General features: G+C 45.9%; 1 long non-coding RNA gene across 1 annotated transcript in view, besides 3 other annotated features; it reads right to left on the bottom strand.

The window, feature by feature from the left end:
• The window catches only part of LOC105376205 (uncharacterized), a 98539-nt gene that overhangs the window by 6838 nt on the left and 67638 nt on the right, over positions 1-24063 (bottom strand). The gene's annotated exons all lie outside the window — the stretch shown is intronic.
• Positions 8435-8607: a silencer, noted in NCBI's record as "fragment chr9:110412164-110412336 (GRCh37/hg19 assembly coordinates)". NCBI's record gives its function as "represses an EF-1alpha promoter that drives an FKBP-Casp9 reporter gene in an ReSE screen in HepG2 liver carcinoma cells {active_cell/tissue: HepG2}" and the evidence as "EXISTENCE:reporter gene assay evidence [ECO:0000049][PMID:32094911]".
• Positions 20380-20928: an enhancer, noted in NCBI's record as "H3K27ac-H3K4me1 hESC enhancer chr9:110399843-110400391 (GRCh37/hg19 assembly coordinates)". NCBI's record gives its function as "activates a minimal SCP1, AML or CMV promoter by ChIP-STARR-seq in naive H9 embryonic stem cells {active_cell/tissue: H9 hESC(naive)}" and the evidence as "EXISTENCE:reporter gene assay evidence [ECO:0000049][PMID:30033119]".
• Positions 20929-21477: an enhancer, noted in NCBI's record as "H3K27ac-H3K4me1 hESC enhancer chr9:110399294-110399842 (GRCh37/hg19 assembly coordinates)". NCBI's record gives its function as "activates a minimal SCP1, AML or CMV promoter by ChIP-STARR-seq in naive H9 embryonic stem cells {active_cell/tissue: H9 hESC(naive)}" and the evidence as "EXISTENCE:reporter gene assay evidence [ECO:0000049][PMID:30033119]".

Raw genomic sequence — 24063 nt, 5'->3', positions numbered from 1 at the left:
CACCTTCTGTATTTATCTGCTTTCACACTGCTGATAAAGACACACCCGAGACTGGACAATTTATAAAAGAAAGAGGTTTAATGGACTTAACAGTTCCACATGGCTGGGGGACCTCACAATCATAGCGGAAGGCAAGGAGGAGCAAGTCACATCTTACAGCAAGTCACATAGCAGCAGGCAAAGAGAGAGCTTGTGCAGGGAAACTCCCGTTTTTAAAATCATCAGGTCTCGTGAGACTCATTCATTATCATAAGAACAGTGCAGGAAAGATCTGCCCCCATAATTCAATCACCTCCCATCTGGTTCCTCCCACAACATGTGGGAATTGTGGGAGTTACAATTCAAGATGGCATTTGGGTGGGGACACTGCCAAACCATATCACCTTTTATGTAAAATTATATGTATATTGTATGTGCATGTATTTGCAGTGTGCTGTCTAGAGCAATGTTCATCAAGATATCAGTAATATTCCTCTTATATAATACAATTCAAGATAATTGTTTTTTCTTCTTTACTTTTTTTTTTTTTTTTTTTTTGAGATGGAGTCTTACTCTGTCAGCCAGGCTGGAGTGCAGTGGTATGATCTTGGTTCACTGCAACCTCTGCCTCTCAAGTTCAAGCAATTCTTCTGCCTCAGCCTCCCGAGTAGCTGGGACTACAGGTGTGCACCACCATGTCCAGCTAATTTTTGTATTTTTTGTAGAGACTAGGTTTCACCATGTTGGTCAGACTGGTATCAAGCTCCTGACCTCGTGATCTGCCCACCTCGGCCTCCCAAGGTGCTGTGATTACAGGCGTGAGCCACTGAGCCCAGCCTCTTCTTTACCTTTTTTTCGTTGTGTTCACCTTTTTGTATTATCTATAATTTTATAATTTAAAAAATAACAAAGATATTTTTACTGTAAAACACAAATACTGAAAAATGCTTTTCACGTCCCTTCTGAGTCTTCTCTAAATTAAGGCTTCCTGGCACATTCAAAATTTCTCCAAATGAAATGAACTGGAGTCCTTCAGCATCCTACATTCTCTCCTCAAAAGCACCTTCTCCCACCCAGGTAATTTTCACCCCCTCAGAGTACAGTAGCCAGAATGGAACCCAGTGATGTGGATATGGTCTCAGCAGCCCAGAGTAGAAGGGAGCACTCACCAAGCAGCCAATAGTGTGACTAGCATTGATGGAGGCACACCCCACTGCTGATTCTTATTGAGCTCCCTGGTCTTTTTCACACCTCGTGGTGTTGAAGTCACTGGGTTCCCACCATGTGTTAATGCTATTGTTTACTTGAGCCCAGATGCAGAAATTGACATCAATCTCTATTGATATCTCATCAGCCTAGATTGGGCTTATCTTTTCAGCCTCTGAAGAGCTTTGTAGAACCTGTCTTCCAAACAGCACCTTCACTGTTCCCTTAGACTATCAGGAACTCTAAAATGACATGGTCAATTTCTCCCAAGGTTAACCCAGTTCCTCCTTGCAAGATAAATTTATTTCTGTTCCTCTAGTTGCATCCTCTGTGTTCTGGGAGATGAAATGATCTATGTTACACATCAATAGTGTCTATTTTCTCTAATCATTATTGGTAAGAGTATAAGTCAAAACAGCTTCTGGAAGGCAATTGGAGAATGTTTATAAAAATGTTAAATGTAAATAATCTTTAACACCAAAATTACCCTTCTCTCTATATATATTTTTATGCACTGTTTTATATAATTTGACTTTCAGGATGACTTCCTAGGAGGTGGTGGGCTGTATTTGGCTCATGGGCAATAGTTTGCCAACTCCTGATCTACACCTATGTCAAGTGCATTTTTCTTTCCCTACTTGCTGCTTGCCATCTGTTGCGTATACTTTGCATCAGTTAGTTTTTGCTGTATAACAAATAATCCCAAAACTTAGCGTTCAACACAACAACTGTTTATTTGTGTATGATTCTGAGAGTCAACAGTTTGAGTGGGGATCAGCTGTGACAGCTCATGTATTCCATGTGGAATCAACTGGGCCCCCTCATTTACCTGAGATCTGCTGGCCATCAGCAGCCTCAGACATCTGGCTTTCAGCAGGGTGATGGAAGCAACTGGGCTATGTGTCTCTTGTCATCCAGCAGGCTGCCCAGGGCTTATTCATGTGCTGGTGGTTGCAGTGTAACCAAGGGCATCAGGAGAAGGCAATTCTCAACCTGAAGCATTTTTCAAGCCTCTGACTGCATCACATTTGCTACTCTCTTACTGACCAAATAAGTCACATGTTGGAATCATGGCCAAGGCAAGATGGTAGGGCTGGAGAAATAGATGTCACCTCCTGATGAGAGGAATTGCTGTTACATCACACAGGGATATACATACAGGGTGGGGAATAATTTGTGACCATTTTTGCAATCAGACTAATTCCATCAACAATTTCACCTCAGGTCCTTTCACCTTCCAGGAGCTCTGTCAGGCATCTCCTGCTCAGACAAGTGGCCATCCTGCACAGAGGACCGTTCCCCCTCTCCTTGAGATGCTCCTTGGTTGATATCTTTTTGGCCAAGAAGCACTAACCTCAATGCATCTTTTTCAGATACAGAACCGTAATTCTTTTCCTCACCTGCAGCCAATTATTTCTTAACCAGGAAAAGCAATTTGAGCAGCTCAAAGACTCCTCAAAATATTTCTCCACTCTCTGATTTCCCACTTCAAAACTTGTATTTAAATTATTAGCCTGCATTACTTCCCATTCACTGAATTTTCCCTGCTCTCCATGTGTTCATTTTCAGCCCTTTTAATAAATGAAGATTATAAAACTGGGACAGTTCCCATGATAACACATTGGTTTCTTTCAACCTCTTTACTCTCACATGCCGAGGGAACCACCCAGTCAACTGAGGCTCGTTATAATCCTGTCTGTGAAGAGAGATCATGCCTGCTTCACTCACCCTCCTTCCAAAATTGCCTTTCTCTCTCTGTGTGTGTATATATATCTGTATATATATATACATTTTTTTGAGATGGAATCTCACTCTGTTGCCCAGGCTGGAGTGCAGTGGTACAACCTCTGCCTCCGGGGTTCAAGTGATTCTCCTGCCTCAGCCTCCTGAGTAGCTGGGACTACAGGTGCACACCACCACTCCTGGCTAATTTTTGTATTTTTAGTAGAGACAGGGTTTCACCATGTTGGCCAGGATGGTCTCAATCTCCTGACCTCATGATCCACCCACCTCGTCCTCCCAAAGTGTTGGGATTACAGGCCTGAGCCACCACGCCCAGCCCTCTCTATATATTTCTTATTCACCTTCCTTCCCCCAACACCATATATGACATCACTGGCAGTCTTTAAAAGAAAAGACAAATCTTGCTCAACAACCATCATTGATAGAGATATTGCCGGACAGCTGAAGTGTGAGGAAAGCACTACATGTAGAGCCGGAAGGTCCAATCAGGTTCAGAACCAGTGTCCACCGCTATCCATGCAAGCAAACAGAATAATATAGAGAACAATAGAGTGCTCCATAAATGTTCGTTCATTCAAGTTTGTCCGCCATTGTATGCAAAGCACTGTAGAAGGGGCCATACAAGGTTCAGAGATCAGTGAGACCCAGCAGGGAGCTCATAATATGGTGGTGAGTGAAAGCTCACAGCCCTATTTAAATTCTCAAATAAAACAATGATATAAGAAGAAAGAAACTCTTAAACATGCCTCAACTTCTGAGCTTAATAAGGAGAAAATGCATAACAATGACAATGATGTCAAATTCATTCTGTCATCCAGACCATCCCCGACTTTAGCCCCAACCCAAGTCCTGACTTGAGTCCTACGGAATAAACACTCCCATGTCAGTCCACTGAGAGTATGACTTTCCTGCATTTCATCCTTGATAGGCAATATCTCAAAAAGGGCTTGGAAAGTTCAGCTCATCCAAGGAGCAGAGAAAACTAGATAATGAGATTATGGAGTCACAAATGACAACTACTTTCATGAGAGAATATCTGGATAAAGAAAAATAGGCCAGGTGGGGTGGCTCATGTCTGTAATCCCAGCACTTTGAGAGGCTGAGGCAGGCAGATCACTTGAGGCCAGGAGTTCAAGACCAGCCTGGCTAACATGGCGAAACCCAATCTCTACTAAAAATATAAAAACTAGCTGGGCATGGTAGTGAACGCCTGTAATCCCAGCTACTGGGAAGGCTGAGGCACAAGAATCGCTGGAACCCAGGAGGTGGAGGTTGCAGTGAGCCAAGACCGTACCACTGCACTCCAGCCTGGGCAACAGAGCAAGGCTCTGTCTCAAAAAACAAACAAACAAACAAAAAAAAGTGCAGAGAGCAAAGGCGACTATCTTTTTACAAGAAATACAGGCAGTTTCATTTAGGCGAATATCACTTAGTTGTTTCTTTTCATTTCTGAAAAAAAAAATGACAAGAGAAAATTAAAAATAGAGAGTCAGTTTAAATTAGGGTCAATGGTAAACCCAACCTGTTATTTGGGTGAATATAAGCAAATTAACTTAAGCTCTCTGAACTTGGAATGTTTATAAAATGGGGATAATTGTGTTTATAATCTCTGATAATATATCAACACCTAGTCAAGAGCACTACAAAAATAAGCAAATAAATGACAAATGTACTCTACTTCTTGCTCGTTAGTATCCCCAGAGTGGTCTTTAGGAGGAAGAGAGAATGAATTCTGTGCCTAAGATGAGCCAGGTGCTTTCCATGGAACAATCCCATTTCTCAACTCTATTTATCTTCAGTTTTCCAGACTAGGAACACGAGGGTCAGAGAAGTTAGTCTACTGAACCAAGATCACAGCGCTACTAAGTGGCAGGTCTTCCTGACTCCAAAACTAATGCTCTAAGTCACTCTCCAAATAGTGCTAACTATAGCACAGGCTAGAACAGAATATGGCTTTGGTGCCCCATGGGGAATGTTTATCCTGCAGAGACACCTGGATTAGAGGTTGGCTGGCTGTCCCCAGAGAAGGGAATCTGGCAGGGCTGGTGGAAGTGTCTGGCAGGCACCCTGGGGAGCTGTGTTCAGTCTGGCCTCATGCAGTCTGCACCGATGAGCAGGAAGAGGGTGTAGCACAGGCTGTAATGAAGTCCACAGATGCTGGAGGCGTATTGTAAACACCAGTGGGCATGAGTGACCAGGAGGGTGGAGGAACAAGGAGGCTGTGCTGGCAGCTCAGAGTGTGTAGAAATATGGGCAAGAAGTAATGAAAGAAAAACTCCATCCCCAGGGCTTGTTTGGGAACACAGCAGCCCAGACACTCTCTGAACAAGAAGCAAGGGTCTGTAGAGGCACGTGTGGCCCTGAAGCCACAGGGAGAACTCCCGGAAAACACAGATGAGGCAGAAACTTAGGGCTCTGAACTACAAGCCTCCATCCATCAGCGAGTGTCTGCCGAGCACTTCTGGGTACAAGACTGCAGTGAGAGTCAGAGTCTAAGATTTGGTCCCTGTTCGCCAAATAACAGTATTATTAACATCAACTAATTTGAATCCTGATTCCCCTGCATACTAGCTGGATGACTTAGCTAATCACTAACACCTTAAAGCTTTACTTTTCTCATCTGCAAAATGGGTATAATAATTAATATCTCCCACACAGCGCCTTTGTGAAGATTCAATGATATAATGGTTCTTAAAAAAACTGAAACAGAAAAATGACTGGCCATAATGCCCAAGCTAAATCCTGAATAAAGACTGGCTGCTCAGGTTATTATTATTAAACCTCTCTTACAGCCCAGACACCAGATTTGATATTGTCCAGGTACTGGCAGAAAGCAGATGACATACTGGTCTGGGATACTTAAAATAAATTATATTAAAGGGACTATTTGTCAAGGTCTGGGTAGGATTGCATGGAATAACAATGTATTTTGAGACACTCTGGGACTAAGAAGGCTGAAGACCTAATTCCTCCTCAACCCTATGCCTGGCTAAGAGCTGGAGCCCAAGGAGATTGGCAGCCACCACTGGGAGCTGGAGCTGGATCGTGGAGGCTGTGATGTGTGATGTATCATTGGTCAGACCAAGCTGAAGCAAAGGGGAGCCTTATTTTATTTTTTTTTTGAGATGGCGTCTCGCTCTGTTGCCCAGGCTGGCATGCAATGGCGTGATCTTGGCTCACTGCAACCTCCATCTCCCAGGTTGAAGTGATTCTCCTGCCTCAGCCTCCCGAGTAGCTGGGACTACAGGCACGTGCCACCACGCCCGGCTAATTTTTTGTATTTTTAGTAGAGACGGGGTTTCACCATGTTAGCCAGGATGGTCTCAATCTCCTGACCTCGTGATCCACCTGCCTCGACCTCCCAAAGTGCTGGGATTACAGGCGTGAGCCACAGTGCCTGGCCAGAAGGGAGCGTCTTTCTCCTCCCACATGCCCCCAATCTTCTGCCGCTATTCCCACTAGCTAAGTTCCAGGGGATGGCTGAGGCCAAGGAGTGCTGTCGCAGTCGACTTCCAGGCACCAACGGAGAAGGGCAGGGAAGGGTAGAACATGGGGATGGGGATGGGAAACGAACAGGACAACTGGTGCAGCTCCAAAACTTGTTTACTGGTCTCATTAACCCCATGGAAGTTGATGGCATGTCTTCCTTTTTCCGATAATGAAACTTGGCTCAGAGAGGTACAGCACTCAGATGCCCAGCTAAAAAAAGTGAGAAGCCTCCATCAGAATCCAAATTCAATTCACCCCACCATGATTGTGCCAGTGTTGACAGAATGGATTGGGAGGGCCCTTGTTGTCCAAAAGAATTTGGTGAGAGAGTTTTCACCATGAAACAAAAACTTGCATAGAATTCTAAATTATTTTGGACAGGCCAGGCCTATTGGCTCAAGCTTATTATCCCAGCACTTTGGAAAGCCAAGGTGGGAAGATCACTTGAGGCCAACAGTTTGAGACCAGCCTGGGCAAGATAGCAAGACCCTAATCTTTACAAAAAAAAAAAATTAAAAATTTATTTTCAGCAAAGAAATAATCTGTAAAAACAAGAAGAATAAGGAAAACAGAGCTTGGGTACCCATTTAGGTTAAGAATTAATTCATCCCTTCAACAGACATCTTGGTGCTTCTGGCCTTTACTGGGAGACAAAGGTAACAGCTAGTAGGCATAGCTTTCACTTATATGAGCACTTCTAAGCGTGTTATATGTATTCACACATTTTAATAATAGGTTCAATTCACTTAATCATCATTAAACCCTTTAATCAAAACATGGGTGCTAACCTTTAAAAACTCACACAGTCTCATGTAAGAGACCTATACACAGATGATTTCAGCTATGTGATAGTTGCTAAGCCACAGAGGCCACCACAAGTTTCGGGGCAGAGAGAAGAGTTAGTAACCTTGTGGTGTGCTCGAGGTGGCACTTACTTACTTCCCAGAGCTGACTGTGTATTTTTTCCTGAGCATTCAGTAACTTCACTTTGCTAACTTGATATCAGACTGGAGGGGGTCATTGGCCAACACTATAAATAAAGGCTTTTTATTTTATTTCATTTTTGGAAAGATAATGAGTGTTTAACATTTACCAGTACACCATTGCCAGAAGGCTTCCTGGAGGAGGAAGTATTTGAGGTAGACTTATTTATAAGGAGACGGAAAGGTGTCCCAATGACCTCTCCATCCAATTCCTTTTCATACTCCCTTGCTGCAGCCTCATTGAGCTAATCACCATGCTCCCGTCCTCTCACCCCCAATTCCTTTATGCAATTCTTTCCCTGCCTGGGTGATCCTTTTCCTCTTACCCACCAGAGAAACTCTTACTTCTGAATAGACTCTCTGAAGACCTTTCTGTGCAAATTCCTGCCCAGGACTCTGATACCAGCTGAATGAGCTTGGGCCATCTTTGACATCTCTAAGCCTTGTCTTTGCAGGCTATCTCCATACACTGTAGGACGGGGAAAATGTGAGCGGCCCTGCCTGCTCCACAGGGTTGCTGTTGGAATGAGACAGATGGTCCAAGAGCCACACTGGAGAGGTGAGCACCAACAAAGGCATGCAAGGAAACACTGGATGTCAGAGCTGGAGGCAAGTTCTGAAACCACCAGAGCCAGCCTTCTCAGCTTACAAATGACAAAAGCGAGGCGCTTTCAGCTTGTGTGCTTTTTGGCTAGATTACTGAGGGAAGTGGAAAAACATGATCCCATGAGTGTCCCAGAAGATCTCTCTTTTGCCCACCATTGACCTGTGGGCACCACCAGGCCAGACCTCCCAGGAATGAGATTCTGGAATCAGTGCAGAAGTTAACAACTGCCCATCACTTTCTAGGCAGTGGGCCAGTAAGACAAGCGTTACATCTTGGGAAGGAAAAAAGGGAGGTAGGCTGGGGCTGTGCAGAGACCCCCAGTGGGGTGGGACCTTGGAGGGTGTCCTTGTGTGATGGTGTGGCTTATGTGGTCTCACCCCCACTTCTTCTGCTCCAGTAGAGAGAAGGAGGGGAGGTAGAGAGGGAGGTAAGGAAAAGGGGGTCATGCCAAACTACAAGAGCCAGTCCAAGAGGAGAGCTGGAGCCCTGGGGGCTTTCTTGAAGATGCCCCAGGAAGTAGCTTTGTGTGGGCTCAGGTGAGACGAGGTGAGGCCAGTCACATGGGTGACACTGACATGACGCTCAGGTCAAGGCCAGGTTAAGTCTTGGAGGGCAGGCCGGGGGAGGGACTTCTGGAGCATGTGGGCACCAGTAGGACCCAAAGACAAGAGATAGATCCTATGGGCTGAAGAGCAAAGGACACTGCCGAGGTCCTGAGGAAAGGTATGGAGGGGCCGGAGCTGCGGTTCTCGTCATTCTTCCCATAGGAGTTCAGGGAAAGATTTGCTTATGTTTTTAATCATTTTTTAATTATAAAAGTAATACATCAATACATCTCAAAGCAAACACTCAAACATTACATACAAAGCAGAAACCTCCCTTGAAACTCACCCATCCCACCACTCTCCTAATTCTGATGTGCATCCCTCCAAGCCTTCGGCTATGAGTTTATCCCCATATTTGTTCATAGGAGAAATATGTGACTCTGTGTGTGTGTGTGTGCTTTATTTTGTTTGTTTGTTTTTTTTGTTCGTTTGTTTTGAGATTGAGTCTCACTCTGTTGCACAGGCTGGAGTGCAGTGGCACGATCTTGGCTCACTGCAGCCTCCACCTCCCAGGTTCAAGCAATTCTCCTACTTCAGTCTCCAGAGTAGCTTGGATTACAGGTGTTTGCCACCATGCCCAGCTAATTTTTGTATTTTTAGTAGAGACGGGGTTTTGCCATGTTGGCCAGGCCAGTCTGAAACTCCTGACCTCAGAAGATCCACCCGCCTCAGCCTCCCAAAGTGCTGGGATTACAAGCATGAGCTACTGCACCTGGCCTGCTTTTATATTAAAGGGACCAACCCTACATGTTCTCCTGAATCTTACTGCCTGCACCCGAGATCACTGCATGTACAGACCCAGAACTACAGCACTCTTTGTAAACCACCCCTTAACAATTCCACAGTCTGGGTAAGTGATCCATTATCTAATCATCCCCCCCAGTGATGGACAGCTTAGACTGTTTCCAATTTTTCATTTTCAAACAATGCATTAGTGAATATCCCTTTACAAGGCTGCTACAGGAAGAAAAAAATATATATTTCATATATATTTTTATGTCATATATATTACATATCATTATATAGAATATATTCATTTACAATATATCATACAATATATCCATTTTATATATATATGAAAAACTATTTCTTTCAGAGGTGGAAATCTCCTAGGAAAAGTGGGCACCTCCACACCTAATGTACCCCTTGACTTAAAACAGGTCTAGGCTGAGATCTTGAAAAATACCGTCAGGAACTGTGACTACATAAACCCGATATGGGACCAAAAACCTTAATAAGTCCTTTCCGTCTCCACTTGTGAGGACTCTGTATATTCGTCCTCTCTTAGTCATCATTTGGGTGAGTTCTCCATATTTATGCTTGTTCTTTTTTTCAGCTGTCCTCATAAATCAATCCCTGCAGTCTCCTAATCAAATCCAGCTTTTCAAATGAAACCGCAGCCGGGTGTTTAACTAACTAAATATTGTTTTTCCCCCAGCACTGACAGAGAGAGAGGGTGGGATGAAGCCTTGATCGGTGTCCTCTCCGCCTCAGCAATCCAGGAAGCTGCCGCCGCAGTTACTGACAGGGACCCAGGTAGGCGTCAGGCCATGGGCCGTGGGTCTGGAGGAGCAGCAGTTAAGAGGTTTCCTTTTGCTGTCTGGATTTCAGATGTCTATCCCTGGGATCCCCAGGAAGTAGGTCACCCTTTCCATGGCTACCCTTAATAAAGGCAGAAAATCAAGGGTGAAGTGGCCTGGAGTGGCACCCAGCTGCCACCCTGCCCTTGGAGCATGCCTACTGAGTTCTGCTTCCACCGGGTCTACTAACAAAATTGGCTTATAGCCGTTCTCAGAGAACAGAGGATGCCAGCCCCAGCTATTCCACCTCTAGACACTCTTCCATTCTGGTCTCAGGTGGCTGCTCATGCGGCCTCAGCAGTAGCAAGACCGAGTGCATTTTTCCTGAGACCTGCCCTTGAACCTGGCTCAATCCTCCCATTGCCTATGGGATCTACAGCAGGAGTTATCAAAGTTCTCCACCTGCAGTGGAGGGGGATGGTTTCCAGATGTTCCCTGGACTAGCATCATCAGTGTCATCTGGGAACTTGCTCAACAGGCAAATTCTCAACCCCCACCCCGGACCGACTGGGTCAGAATCTCTAAGGGTGGGACCCAACAGCGTGTGTTCTAATGAGCCCTCTAGATAATTCTGATGCATGCTCAAGTTTAAGCAGCACTGATCTACAGGACCAAGCTCCTAACTCAGATGCTCAGCTCTCCATGAACCAGCCCTGGCAGCTCCTCCAACCCCATCTCTCATTGCTTTCCCTACAGGATGCTACACTACATGGAGCAGCCCAACATACCAGGAGGGGTCTCTCCTCGCCTCTGTGCTTGCCAGCCCTCCTCCTAGCCATGCCCTTGCTCAGATGTATCCCATATCCACCTTTTAAATCCCAGCTCTGTGTCCTCTAGAAAGTCTTCCTTGGTTTCTCCAAGAAGAGCTAAAAATAGCTAACATCTACAGGGTACTGTTCCAAGAGCTGTTCAGTCATTTCTCGGTAACCATGGGGGATTAGTCCCAGAAACTCTGGAGGATACCAAAATCCACAGATGCTCAAGTTGCTGACATAAAATTTGGTTTGCCATATAAGCTAACCACATCCTCCATGTACTTTAAGTCATCTCTAGATTACTTATAATACCTGATACAATGTAAATGCTATGTAAGTAGTTGTTACACTATGTTTGCTACACTATTTTGTTTAAGGAATAATGACAAGAAAAAAAGAATCTGTACATGTTCAGTAAAGATGGTTTTTAAAAAAATATTTTTATGGTGAAACCCCGTCTCTACTAAAAATACAAAAAATTAGCTGGGCGCGGTGGTGGGCGCCTGTAGTCCCAGCTACTTGGGAGGCTGAGGCAGGAGAATGGCGTGAACCTGGGAGGCAGAGCTTGCAGTGAGCCGAGATCGCGCCACTGCACTCCAGCCTGGGCTACAGAGCGAGACTCCATCTCAAAAAAAAAAAAATTTTTTTTTAAGCCATGTTTGGTTGAACCCATGGGTGAGCAACCCAACTGTCTTTCTCTCTACATGTGACTGACTATAGGTAGAGAAATAAAATATCCATACAGTCATATGCAGAGAAAAAGATGTTGTTGTTGTTGCTTTTGCAACAGGGCCTGGCTCTGTCACCCATGCTCGAGTACAGTGACACAATCTCAGCTCACCTCACTGAAACCTCCATCTCCCATTCTCAAGCCATCCTCCCACCTCAGCCTCCTGAATAGCTGGGACTACAGGTGCATGCTACCATGCCCAGCTAATTTTTGTATTTTTTTGGTAGAGACAGGGTTTGGTCAAGTTGTACAGGCTTGTCTCAACTCCTGGGCTCAAGTGATCCTCCCACCTCTGCCTTCCAAAGTGTGAGGATACAGGCGTGAGCCACTACACCCAGACAAAAGACAGTTGTTGAGACATATATCTATAGCTGTAATCCCAGCACTTTGGGAGGCCGAGGCAGGCAGATCACTTGAGGTCAGGAGTTCAAGACCAGCCAGCCCAACATGGCAAAACCCTGTCTTTACTAAAAAATACAAAAATTAGCAGGCATGATAGCACATGCCTGTAATTCCAGCTACTTGGGAGGCTGAGGCAGGAGACTCACTTGAACCTGGGAGGCGGAGGTTGCAGTGAGCTGAGATTGCACCACTGCACTCCAGCCTAGGCGACAAAGCAAGACTCTATCAAAAAAAAAGCATTGGCCAGGCGCGGTGGCTCACGCCTGTAATCCCAGCATTTTGGGAGGCCGAGGCAGATGGATCATGAGGTCAGGAGATCAAGACCATCCTGGCTAACATGGTGGAACCCGGTCTCTACTAAAAAATACAAGAAATTAGCCGGGGGTAGTGGCGGGCGCCTGTAGTCCCAGCTTCTCGGGAGGCTGAGGCAGGAGAATGGTGCGAACCCGGGAGGCGGAGCTTGCAGTAAGCCGAGATCGCACCACTGCACTCCAGCCTGGGCAACTGAGCCAGACTCCGTCTCAAAAAAAAAAAAAAAGTATCAGATAGTTATATATGACTATAATAGAGAGAATTGGGCAAATTTAATTTTATATCTATACATACATCTAATCCTCTCAATAACTCCATGAGAAATGTATTACTGTTAGCTCCATTTTACAGATGAAGAAGCAGAAGCCCAGAGAGCTTAAATAATCTGTCCAAGTGAATAAGTGGTGAAATTGGCTAGGTGAGGTGGCTCATGCCCGTAATACAGCACTGGCATTGCCTGTAATCCCTGGGGCAAAGGTCAGATGATTGTTTGAGGTCAGGAGTTTGAGATTAGCCTGATAACACAGCAAGACCCTGTCTCTAAAAATTTAATAATACTAACCAGTGGTGAAGTTGAGATTTGAGCCCCTGGCTCTACAGCCTTTAACTATTTTCTTCTATTGCTTCCCTGTGATATAGCCAGACCAATGGTTTTAGTTCCTCACCTTGGACCCCGTCAGAACATACCTGCTCCCACTGCCCTATGACAGCCCTTTAGTTGTGCAAATAAAACTCTTATGTCCTGCCCAAGACTGCTCTTCTCCAGGCCAACACCCACTGTTTCCTCAACTGGCCTCCATGTGACTTGGCCCCGTATCCACTGCTGCCAGCCCTGTCGTTACAGCTGGCTTCTGAAAGGAGGGACCTCAGCATGTCCTCACATTGGCTGCCTTTGCTTTCTGCTGTTTCCTGTTTCAAATTGCAGGGCCCAATACTTTGCATCAAAAATGAAGACATGACATGCTTTCAAAAAAATCTCATTTTCTAAAGGCATTTCCTATTGATTTCCTTCCTTGTTGAGGCTCCTCCCAGCCTGGCTTATGTTTAAAAAAAGAGAGAGAGAAGGATGAATTTTTTTAAAAAAGGAAGAAAGAAATCTGTGTTTCTCCAAGCTCAGACTGGTGTGAGCCTTCTTGCTGACTTAGCTGAAAAGTTGCCGCCTGGGTGCCCCATGGATGAGCTGCCCAACCAGTGTTCCCCAAAACCACTGGCCTTGGGACCATCTCTGAAATACAACCACCAAAATTCCCCTCAAAATCCCCTCTTCACCACCTTTTGTGGGATTACTGGAAGGGGCATTTCTCCTCAGGAAATCCTCTGCCTTAAAAGCTCTGCTTCAGAACTGAAAGGTTCATTTTCCATCTTTCTTTTTTTATTTTATTTTATTTGTTTATTTTGAGACAGGGTCTCACTCGGTCACCCAGGCTAGAGTGCAGTGGTGCCATCTCAGCTCACTGCAGCCTTCGCCTCCTGGGCTCAAGAAATCCTCCCTACTCAACCTCCCGAGTAGCTGGGACCATAGGCACGTGCCCCCATGCCTGGCTAATCCCAGCTTTCTTCCGTTTATCCAGTCTGACTTTTCTCATCCTAGGCGTTCTGCCACTGCATCCCTTGAAATCTCCCATTGTCCACTTGAAGAATCTGAGTACCGGCTTTGGAATCAGATAAACCTGAGCCTGAGTTACAGTTCCTCATGAGCTAGGTGGCTTTGCAAAAAACACTTACCCTCTCTGATACAGTTTTCTCATTTGGAAAATGGAGATAAAGATAATCTGCATGAGTTTCCTAGGATTGCCATAACAGATGATCCCAAACTTCATGGCTTAAAACAGAAACGTATTCTCTCACAGTTCTGTAAATCAAAGTATCAGTTGGGGCTGGGAGCGGAAGCTCATGCCTGTAATCCCAGAAATTTGGGAGGCTGAGGCAGGAGGATCACCCTACCTCAGAAGTTCAAGACCAGCCTGAGCAACATGGTGAAACTCTGTCTCTACTAGAAATACAAAAAAATTAGCTGGTGTGGTGGCACACACCTGTAATCCCAGCTACTTGGGAGGCTGAGGTGTGAGAATCACTTAAACCTGGGAGGCAGAAGTTGCAGTGAGCCAAGATTGCACCACAGCACTCTAGCCTGGGTGACAGAGAAAGGTTCTGTCTCAATATATATGTATATATATATCAGTAAGGCTACACTCCCTCTGAAGTGTATACATAAGGAAGAACCCTTCTTCGTCTCTTCTAGTGGCTCTGGGTGTTCCTTGACTTGGAGTTGCATAACTCCAATTTCCAACACCATCTTCACATGGCCATCTCTTTCCCCTGTGTATCTCTCCTCTGTGTGTCTCTTATAAAAACATCTATCACTGGGGCCGGGCAAGGTGGCTCATGCCTGTAATCCCAGCACTTTGGGAGGCCGAGGTGGGTGGATCACGAGGTCAGGAGATCGAGACCATCCTGGCTAACACGGTGAATCGCCGTCTCTACTAAAAATACAAAAAATTAGCCGGGTGTGGTGGCGGGCGCCTGTAGTCCCAGCTACTCAGGAGGCTGAGGCAGGAGAATGGCGTGAACCCGAGAGGCAGAGCTTGCAGTGAGCTGAGATCGCGCCACTGTACTCCAGCCTGGGTGACAGAGCGAGACTCCTTCTCAAAAAAAAAAAAAAATCTATAATTGGATTTAGAGCCCACCAGATAATCTATGATAATCTCATCCCAAGATCCTTAACTTAATTACATCTGCAAAGACCCTTTTTCCAAAGAAGGTCACATTCATAAGTTCCAGGAGTTAGAACATGGATATAACTTTTCAGAGGTCATCATTCAACACACTACAAATATCTCCTTCATAGCTTGATGGTGTGGTTGAAATGAGATCATGAATAGAAGATGCCTGGTAGACTGTGCTCAACAAGTGTGTAGATACATTAAATTGATGCAAAAGTAATTGCAATTTTTTTACTTTTAATGGCAAAAACTGCAATTGCTTTTGTACCAGCCTGATAGCTTTTTTTCCCTTCTCCTCTGCCTCTATGCCCTTACCCTGTCCCACCCCGTCTGTGGAAGCTGGCCTCTTGACCTGGCTGCTTATAGCTGGCCCATGGCCACTAATGGTCACATTAACAACTTATATTTGGCCATGACATCACAAAGCCCTCCTAACATAAGTAGACCCATCTGACATATATCAACATCTTGTGAAGTAGGCATGGCAAGTACTTCATTCATCCCCATTTTACAAATGAGTACATGGAGGCTCAGAGAGGTTACATCACTTGCTAGACCCACTCAGCTAGTAACTGGCTATCAAATGAAGCTATGAAATTTCCCTAAGTTCCAACATGTAGGCAGAAGATGACCCTGATGAGGATGTCCGGCTATGGGTCATCTAGGGGTAACAAGAATGCAAGGGAGATAACTGTCCAAGAAATGTCATTTCTGCCAAAGATCAAACCTAGCTCTGCCTTTGCTGCCAAACAGAATTAAGTGCAGGCAATATGTCTGCCATTCCCCAGGGCTTGTCTCAGGGTTCCTGCCCACCTCACCTTTCCATTGATGTCTGAAACAATGTCATAAAGTTCTTGTTTCTGATTCTCTTCAGGGTCAAACGTGAAAGTGGGAAATAATCTCAAAATCATAATTGCCTGGCTCCAAGACATTTCTTTAGGAGGAAGGAACATTAGGAGGGAGTGAGATCTGCCTGGGTTGTAGGTTGGACCCTCACTCACAGACTGTGCGACACTAGGCTCATACTTAGCCCACTCTGTGCCCCAACTTGGCCACTTGGGGATAAAATAGGTTGGATAAAGTGATGGCTCAGTGTTTCCACCACACCCATCCTAAGAATCCCAGACTCGCCAGGCGTGCTGGCTCATGCCTGTAATCCCAGCACTTGGGAGGCCGAGGCGGGTGGATCACGAGGTCAGGAGATCGAGACCATCCTGGCTAACGCGATGAAACCCTGTCTCCGCTAAAAATACAAAAAAATTAGCCAGGCGTGGTGGCGGGTGCCTGTAGTCCCAGCTACTCGGGAGGCTGAGGCAGGAGAATGGCATGAGCCCGGGAGGCAGAGCTTGCAGTGAGCCGAGATCGTGCCACTGCACTCCAGCCTGGGCGACAGAGCAAGACTGTCTCAAAAAAAAAAAAAAGAATCCCAGACTCCAGCATCTTCGTACCATCAAGATTGTCTAAAATGATAGAGATGGCATAAAGCCAAATCATTGGGATTCATGTCTTTTTATCTCTTCTGCTTCCAAATCCTTGGTCTAGTTGCTTGTTATGGCAATAAGAATGTATTTTTCCTACTTGGTTTTTCCTACATAGCTGTGTTACTCTGAGCAAGTATCTAACCTCTTTGAGTCTCAGTTTTCTCATCTATACAATGGAAATAGTAACAATACGTATATTACTGGGCTGCCAAATGGCTAGATCTGTGTGTGTATGTGTGTCTGTATGTGTGTGTGTGTTCATGAATATACGTTTGGTGGGGTGGGGATGGGGTGGGATCTTTGTATTCAAGTTGACCTGAGCCTGGCTCTCCCACTTCTTGTATCCTTAGCAAAGGATACAAAACCTTTGCTAGTCACCTCCTCTCCTTCAGCCTGTCTCCCTCTCCCTCACCCTCTTGTGGGTTGGGATAATAATGTTAGGCTGATTCAGTGACACAAAGGGAGAAGGAGCTTAGAGTTATACAAATCACTGCATCATCTCATTAAATCAAGTCAGAAGTGAGCTCTGGAGGCTGGGGGTTGGGGGACATGTGCAAGGCCCTAGAGCACTCCATAATCCTGTCAGATAGGCTGTGATTTCCCTAGAGAATGGGTTCTCGGTCCATTCATTCTTTTTTTTCTCTTTTGAGATGGAGTCTAGCTGTGTCACCCAGGCTGGAGTGCGGTGGCACGATCTCAACTCACTGCCACCTCCGCCTCCCGGGTTCAAGTGATTCTCCTGCCTCAGCCTCCTGAGTAGCTGGGATTACAGGTGCCTGCCACCATGCCCGGCTAATTTTTGTACTTTTAGTAGAGACGGGGTTTCACTATGTTGGCTAGGCTGGTCTCGAACTCCTGACCTCAGGTGATCTGCCTGTCTCAGCTTCCCAAAGTGCTGGGATTACAGATGTAAGCCACCAAGCCTGGCTTCATTCATTCTTTTATTCATTCAACAAACATTCACTGAGCCTTTCCATGCATTAGGGCTCTATGTACTCTTAGGACACAAAGTCAAACAAGACCCAATCCCTGTGTGGAGAAGCCCACACTGGAAGGAGCCCTTCCAGTGAAGGAGACAGGCAGGTCAAAAGATCGCTGGAGTCCAACATACACCACTATGGGAGTGTGAGCGGACAGCAAGGCATGGAAGACAGAGGAGGCTGGCTCTGGGTGAAAAACTTGGGAACGCTTTGGAGAAGCAGCAGCACTGTATCTGGGCTTTGAGTGGGAAGAAGTTCACTAGGCAGTGAAGAGAGGAAAAGAACATTCCCGGCAGAGAGGAGGGCAGATCTAAGAGCATGGGGGGCCCAGAGGGCTGTGGGGAGTTCACTGAGGGGACGGGGAGAAGTTTGGTATAAACACATGATGATGGCCAGGCACAGTGGCTCATACCTGTAATCCCAGCACTTTGGGAGGCTGAGGCGGGTTGGTGGATCGAGTGAGGTCAGCAGTTCAAGACCAGCCTGGCCAACATGGTGAAATCCCATCTCTACTAAAAATACAAAAATTAGCCAGGCGTGGTGGCAGGCACCTGTAATCCCAGCTACTCAGGAGGCTGAGGCAGGAGAATCACTTGAACCTGGAAGGTGGAGGCTGCAGTGAGCGGAGATCGCGCCATTGCATTCCAGCCTGGGTGATAGAGCAAGACTCTGTCTCAAAAGGAAAAAAACAAAACAAAACAAAACAAAACAGCAAGGGAGACGCCAAAGTGGCTAGGTGGAGCAGTGGCAGGAGTAGAGACACTTTTACCCAACATAAGGACTAGGAAGAGATGAGGCTGCCCCCTGGGATTGCAAAGCACAAGACAAATATCAGAGATGGAAAATGTCCCCATAAGAAGTGGAAAACAGGCCGGGCACAGTCCATCACGCCTGTAATCCAAGCACTTTGGGAGGCTGAAGTGGGTGGATCACCTGAGGTCGGGAGTTCAAGACTAGCCTGGCCAACATGGAGAAATCCCGTCTCTACTAAAAATACAAAATTGGCCAGGTGCAGTGACGCATGTCTGTAATCCCAGCTACTCGGGAGGCTGAGGCAGGAGAATGGCTTGAACCCGGGAGGCGGAGGATGCGGTAAGCCGAGATCATGTCATTGCACTCCAGCCTGGGCAACAAGAGTGAAAATGTGTCTCAAAAAAAAAGAAGTTGAAAACAGAGCTGTGATCCACTTCTCGGTGAGTGGTATAACCGCAGGTATACTGGATAAAACCAGAAAGTATGCTTGGCTCAAATTACTACAGCTTAGGAGTGTCAAGCATTGAGGGGAACTAAATCACCACAAGATTTATGAGTGTGCAGGGGAGGGAGGAGGGTTCAGGTTGGGGGACATTGTTCTCACCATAAGCAGCAGTGAAGGAAACCAAGTCTTTGGAACCAGTCATATTCCTCCAAGGTTGTACAAACTCAGCCTTGATATGACCTTTTCTGGGGTCTCAGGAAGAAAGAAAAAAAAAAAAAGTGCCTTCATGGTAAAGAGGTATCAGACCAATTAATAAGGCAGATTTGAAAGCTTCTGAAATGCACCTGAGCAAGAAGTCAGGTGTTGAGTTCACCTGCTCTACAGACAAGAAAAATGCTTTTTCGGTTCCTATTTAGATAAAGCTGGACATAAATCATTCTTTGAAAAGCTGTCTTGGGTGCCTTTCTTGGTGGGGGCTTAAGCCCTTTCCAAACATTGCCTCATTAATCCTGGCAGACACGAAGAGAAAAAGGCTTGACAGACATCACTTTTGATGTCACTGAACAGATGTCACTGAGTAACTGGCCTCCAACTTTAAGACACACGCAAGTTCCTGCTGGATGTGGTACAAGATCCTCCCTGCTCACTGGCTGTTAGCTACCCTGCCCTGTGGCCTGGAGGAGGGAGGGTGTGTGTGTGTGTGTGTGTGTGTGTGTATACACATACGTGTAAGTACTTTTAGTCTTAATTATACTATGAACAGAAAATGGGGCAACAGCCACTAGTGTTACTAGCTGGGTGGCTGGGATATATTTTACCAGGAAATCTATATTCTCTTCTGAAACGGCCAGATTTTTGCAAGCATTTTCCCCATCTCAGGGTGGGTGGGCTGTTGTCCTTGGTAAATGCTTTTTGTTTATTTCCAGCCCTTCCAACATGTTGGCGAATTATTGCAATATGAACTTCTAATCCGAAAAGGGGGGTGAGGAAGGGCACTGAGAAGAAGAGAAAGTTATAACAAACTCAAGCGACTGACACCCCAGTTTTACTTGTCCCTTTGGACTTGTTTAGGAGTTGGGTCCTGTTTGGTGTTTCAAAGGAGGGAAAAGATATAAAAGTACAAGGTGCCTTAGAAATGGAAATCTTCTGATGTGGCCTCTTCTTTTCTTTTTAATAAAGAAGGTTAAAGAAAAAAACGAAGAGAGAGAAGACAGGGAGAAGACAGAGAGACAGTGACAGCCAGAGAAACAGAAAGAGAAAAAGTTGGGGGTGGGGGGGGGGGCGCAAGAGGGAGAAGAGGAAAGACAGGAAAAGAAAAGGAAAAGAAAAAGAGGAAAGAAAGAAGAAAAGAAACAAAAAGAAGAGAGAGAAAGGAAAGAAAGAGAAAGAGAGAAAGAGAGAAAGCGAGAAAGCGAGGAAGAGAGGAGAGGGCGAGTGCCCCGAGGGAGTCGGGCAAAAGCGAAATCCCGGCTTCCTACCCGGGACAGCGGGAGAGCCGAGTTTTCCGCAGCGGCCGCGGGCTCGGAGCTTTTAAGGGTTTCTAATCCTGGAAGGCTGTCTGACATCACCCCGTTTCTTGTCGGCTGATGTTTCGTACAAGCCTCTCATTTCCTCAGTGTTTTCAGAGCCACCAATTACTGCAACAGTCTCGTGTTTATGTTTGCGCGCGCTCTCCTGCCTCGCTGGCCCTCCGCCTGGGAGGCTGCGCTTCCCTCCGACGCGCGGAGCCCAGAGGGGGTGGGTCGGGGGAGCGGGGAGGGGGGAATCTGGATCAGGCATTGAAGAAAAAGGGAGGGGTCCCCCTTAATTTTTTTTCATTGACTTCAGCACCATGTGATCAGGAAGTCTGGCCTCCCTCCATTTCCCCTCCCGACTAAAGGGAAACATTGTGTAGCAGCCGCCTGGGCCACCGGTGGGATGGCCTTCGCTGCCTGACGTAGGGAGATAAAAATAACCGGCATATTTAAGGCAGGATCAGGAATCCCGGCGCTCACACGCGGCCTGGTCAGTTCCCGAGGCCGCCCGGCAGGCAGCGCAGCCTGCGGGGAGGCCCCGCGCTCGACTGTGCGCGCCCCACCGCAGGCAGTGCTAGGGCGTACGACCGGACCCCGACCCTGACCCCGACCTTGACCTCGGGACCCAGGCCGACTCAGGCCTGGCTGAGCCTCCCAGATTCCCCAGGGAGGCCGAGCAAGACCGGCCCGAGGCAGTCTGGCTCAGGCTCGCTGGGCTGGGGCTGGGCCTGGGTTCTCTGTCCGGCCTCCCGGGAGACGAGAAGGAAGGATGCCGTGGCAAAGGGAGGGTAGTGCGAAGTTTGATGCCGAGGGGGGTTACAGAGCCTCTGTCTCAAGAGAAGGCGCACAAGGTGCCACCAAAAAAGCCACTTGTTTCTAGCCAGGCCCCCAACTCAGACCCACCACTGTGTGCACAAACTCTCAAATCAAATCTGCCTTCTCTATCCCCACTTTGCCTTCCAACTGCACATTGCAAAGATTTGCAAACATGTGGCAGGGCTGGAAATAAACAAGAAGCATTTAGCAGGCAAAAGGCACTGATGTGTTTCCACATTCATGCTCTCCTTGAAACCTCAACCCACACTACACAGGAAGTTCTGTTATCCTTATCTTACACAATGGGAAACTGAGGCTCGGGGAGATGGAGCCACACATGGGCAATGCTTTCCCTACCACCTCAGTGGCCTCTCGAAACTGCATGACATTGGCACATTGCTTTATCATTCTGGAAACCCCCTACCCTCTCTTCTTCCTCCTCCCTAAATAAAATTATTACCAAGCAAAAACAATGATGGTGAGCTTTCACTGACCTATGAAATCTCAGGTTTGCCCTAGCCCTGGGGCACAAAGAAGTTTTCACATCCATTTAATAATGGGAAATCTCCCTGCCTTCTGATGTCTAAAGTAACAAGATGTTTCAAAATTCCTGGCAGCTTTTCACCTAAAAACCAGATGTGCTGATGAAAAATGAACAGACATTCACCGCTAATCCAGAGATAGCAAATACCTATTTATCTGGGTAGAAGAGGCAAAGAACTTCCATTTTGGGAGATTTGGGAATTTAACCATCTATGGGGATGGAGACCCCGGAGTCTGGCAAGATTTTTCTGAATCTAAGCACCCAGCACAATGCCTAAGACTGAAAATACTCAATCCATAATTGTTGGATTGAGTGAATGGGGGGTGGGGGTGGGTTGTGGAAGGTGATAAGCAGCACTTAAAAACACATTGGGATGAGGTATGCTGGTCATATCTTTAGTGATCATATAAGCATGATCTCATTTAGTCCTTATAACTACCCTAGTCTGCAGGTATCATTATCATCCCTGCCTTGTATGTAGGGAAACTGTAGTGCAGAGAAAAACTGCCCAAGGTAACACAGCTGGGTGCTGGAATTTGAACGCATGCAATCTGACTGCAGTAGCCAAGTTCTTCACCACTAGACTAAATCCAAAGAGTTGTGCCATGAGATGTCAGAGAAAGGGACCTGTTATTTACTAAGCACCTCTTTTGACTCAAGCTCCATGCTTACTACTGGAGAGGCGGGTCAGACACCACAGGATCCAGGCTCTCAAAGAGGTGACTCCGGAAGCAAGACTGGACTTCAGACTCCTTGAAAGCAGCCCTAGTTCTCATTCACCTCTATCTTGCCAAACATCAACTATCACAAATGTCTGTTGAATCGTTCCCCCTGAGAGAAACCTTCTTTGACCACCACCAACCGCAGCATTTTAGATCTCCTTCCTGTTTCCACATTAGATATGGCACATGCCTGCCTTAAAGCGCTTGTCACCCAGCATCTGAGCTTTTTACTTACCTGCCTGCTCTCCCACTGGTCTAGGAGCACCTTGAAGGCAAAAATGGTGTCTAGATCAGTATAGACTCCAGAGCATGGCGGCCACTCACTAAATGTTTGCTAAATTATGAATGAATGCATATGAGACCTTCACTAGCCTCCAGTACAATGTAGGCCTCCTATCACCACAAAACCCGGTTTTCTCTATCTCAGCACCCTCTTCTGTTGCCTCACAGAATTTGTCACAGTTTGTAATTTAATCTGTTTTTCTTTTCCTCCCACGAACCCACGAATGCAGGAACTGCCTCGCTTATGCCTGCCACCATAGCATTCCCAACATGTATTAAAGTGCCTCACACATTGCTGGCACTCAGTAAATACTTGTACAATGAATGAGTGAGTGAATGAATGAATGAATGAATCAACAATAACTATTCCAAAGCCAGTCATAACTGAGCGAAGCCACTTGAAATAATGCCATTACCCAGATTGTATTCATAAAGTGAGGGCCTTTTGTTTGGTGACCACGTCAAATCTAAGTCTCATCCATATTGATGATAAAAAAGACTTAAAAGGGGGGTTATTGAATGAGGCCCTTCTTCTCACACAATGTGGGCTGCAGTGACCACTATAGTTAGAGCTGCACACAGACTCCCTTTATGCCCCTCTGTTTTCATTAGCTCAGGGAACTTGCCAAAGAGTGATCCTTTTGCGCTGAAATTTTCCATGCTGGGTCTTGGCAAAAGGTGAATTTTGGGGAAAAGTTTGAATAAAATCCCTTCAGCCATTTTTTTTCTTCAGTTTGATGAAGATGAAAAAAATACATTTTTTTCTGGCTTTTAATTGAAGACATTTTTAGGACACAGGAAACTCAAATTGAATTGAACTTTGAAAACCTGAAAGTCATATCTAATCCCGTCTGAGGAAACTGTGGAGCTCATCTTGGGCTCATTTTTTTTTAATTTAATAATAATTTTAAAAACTAAAAAGGAATTGAAAAATCTCTTTGCAGCCTTAGCAATCTTGACATGCTTTCTCCAACTTGAGCTACATAAGTCTTTCTGTGATTCTAGCAAATCATAGAAGCTCAGAGCTGTTTAGAAGTGATTTTAAAACTTGAATTTCAGCTCCCATGCCATGACAGATCATATTTTTTCCCTCTTGCCTTTGTCTCAAGAAACTTCTTCACAATGTACCAGGAATATGTGATTTAAACCATAGCCTCAGAAAATAACAAAGCTGAGGTTCCTGGAATGAAAGGACTACTTCTTCAAAGCCAAATATACAACTTGCTTTCCAAAACTTTCTTAGATAAATGCTAACCAAAACATTTTATCTTGCATTGGATTTGGATTTTCTCAGTACTCATGTCAGTACCACATTCTTGCTCCCTTTTTTTTTGGGGGGGGGTGCGGGGGGATGGGGTCCCACTCTGTCGCCCCGGGCTGGAGTGCAGTGGTGCGATCTCGGCTCACTGCAA

Source organism: Homo sapiens, chromosome 9 (genome assembly GCF_000001405.40).
Source record: "Homo sapiens chromosome 9, GRCh38.p14 Primary Assembly".
Taxonomy (NCBI): domain Eukaryota; kingdom Metazoa; phylum Chordata; class Mammalia; order Primates; family Hominidae; genus Homo; species Homo sapiens.
The sequence above is the reverse complement of the archived record's forward strand: the minus strand, read 5'-3'. Positions and strand labels throughout refer to the sequence as shown.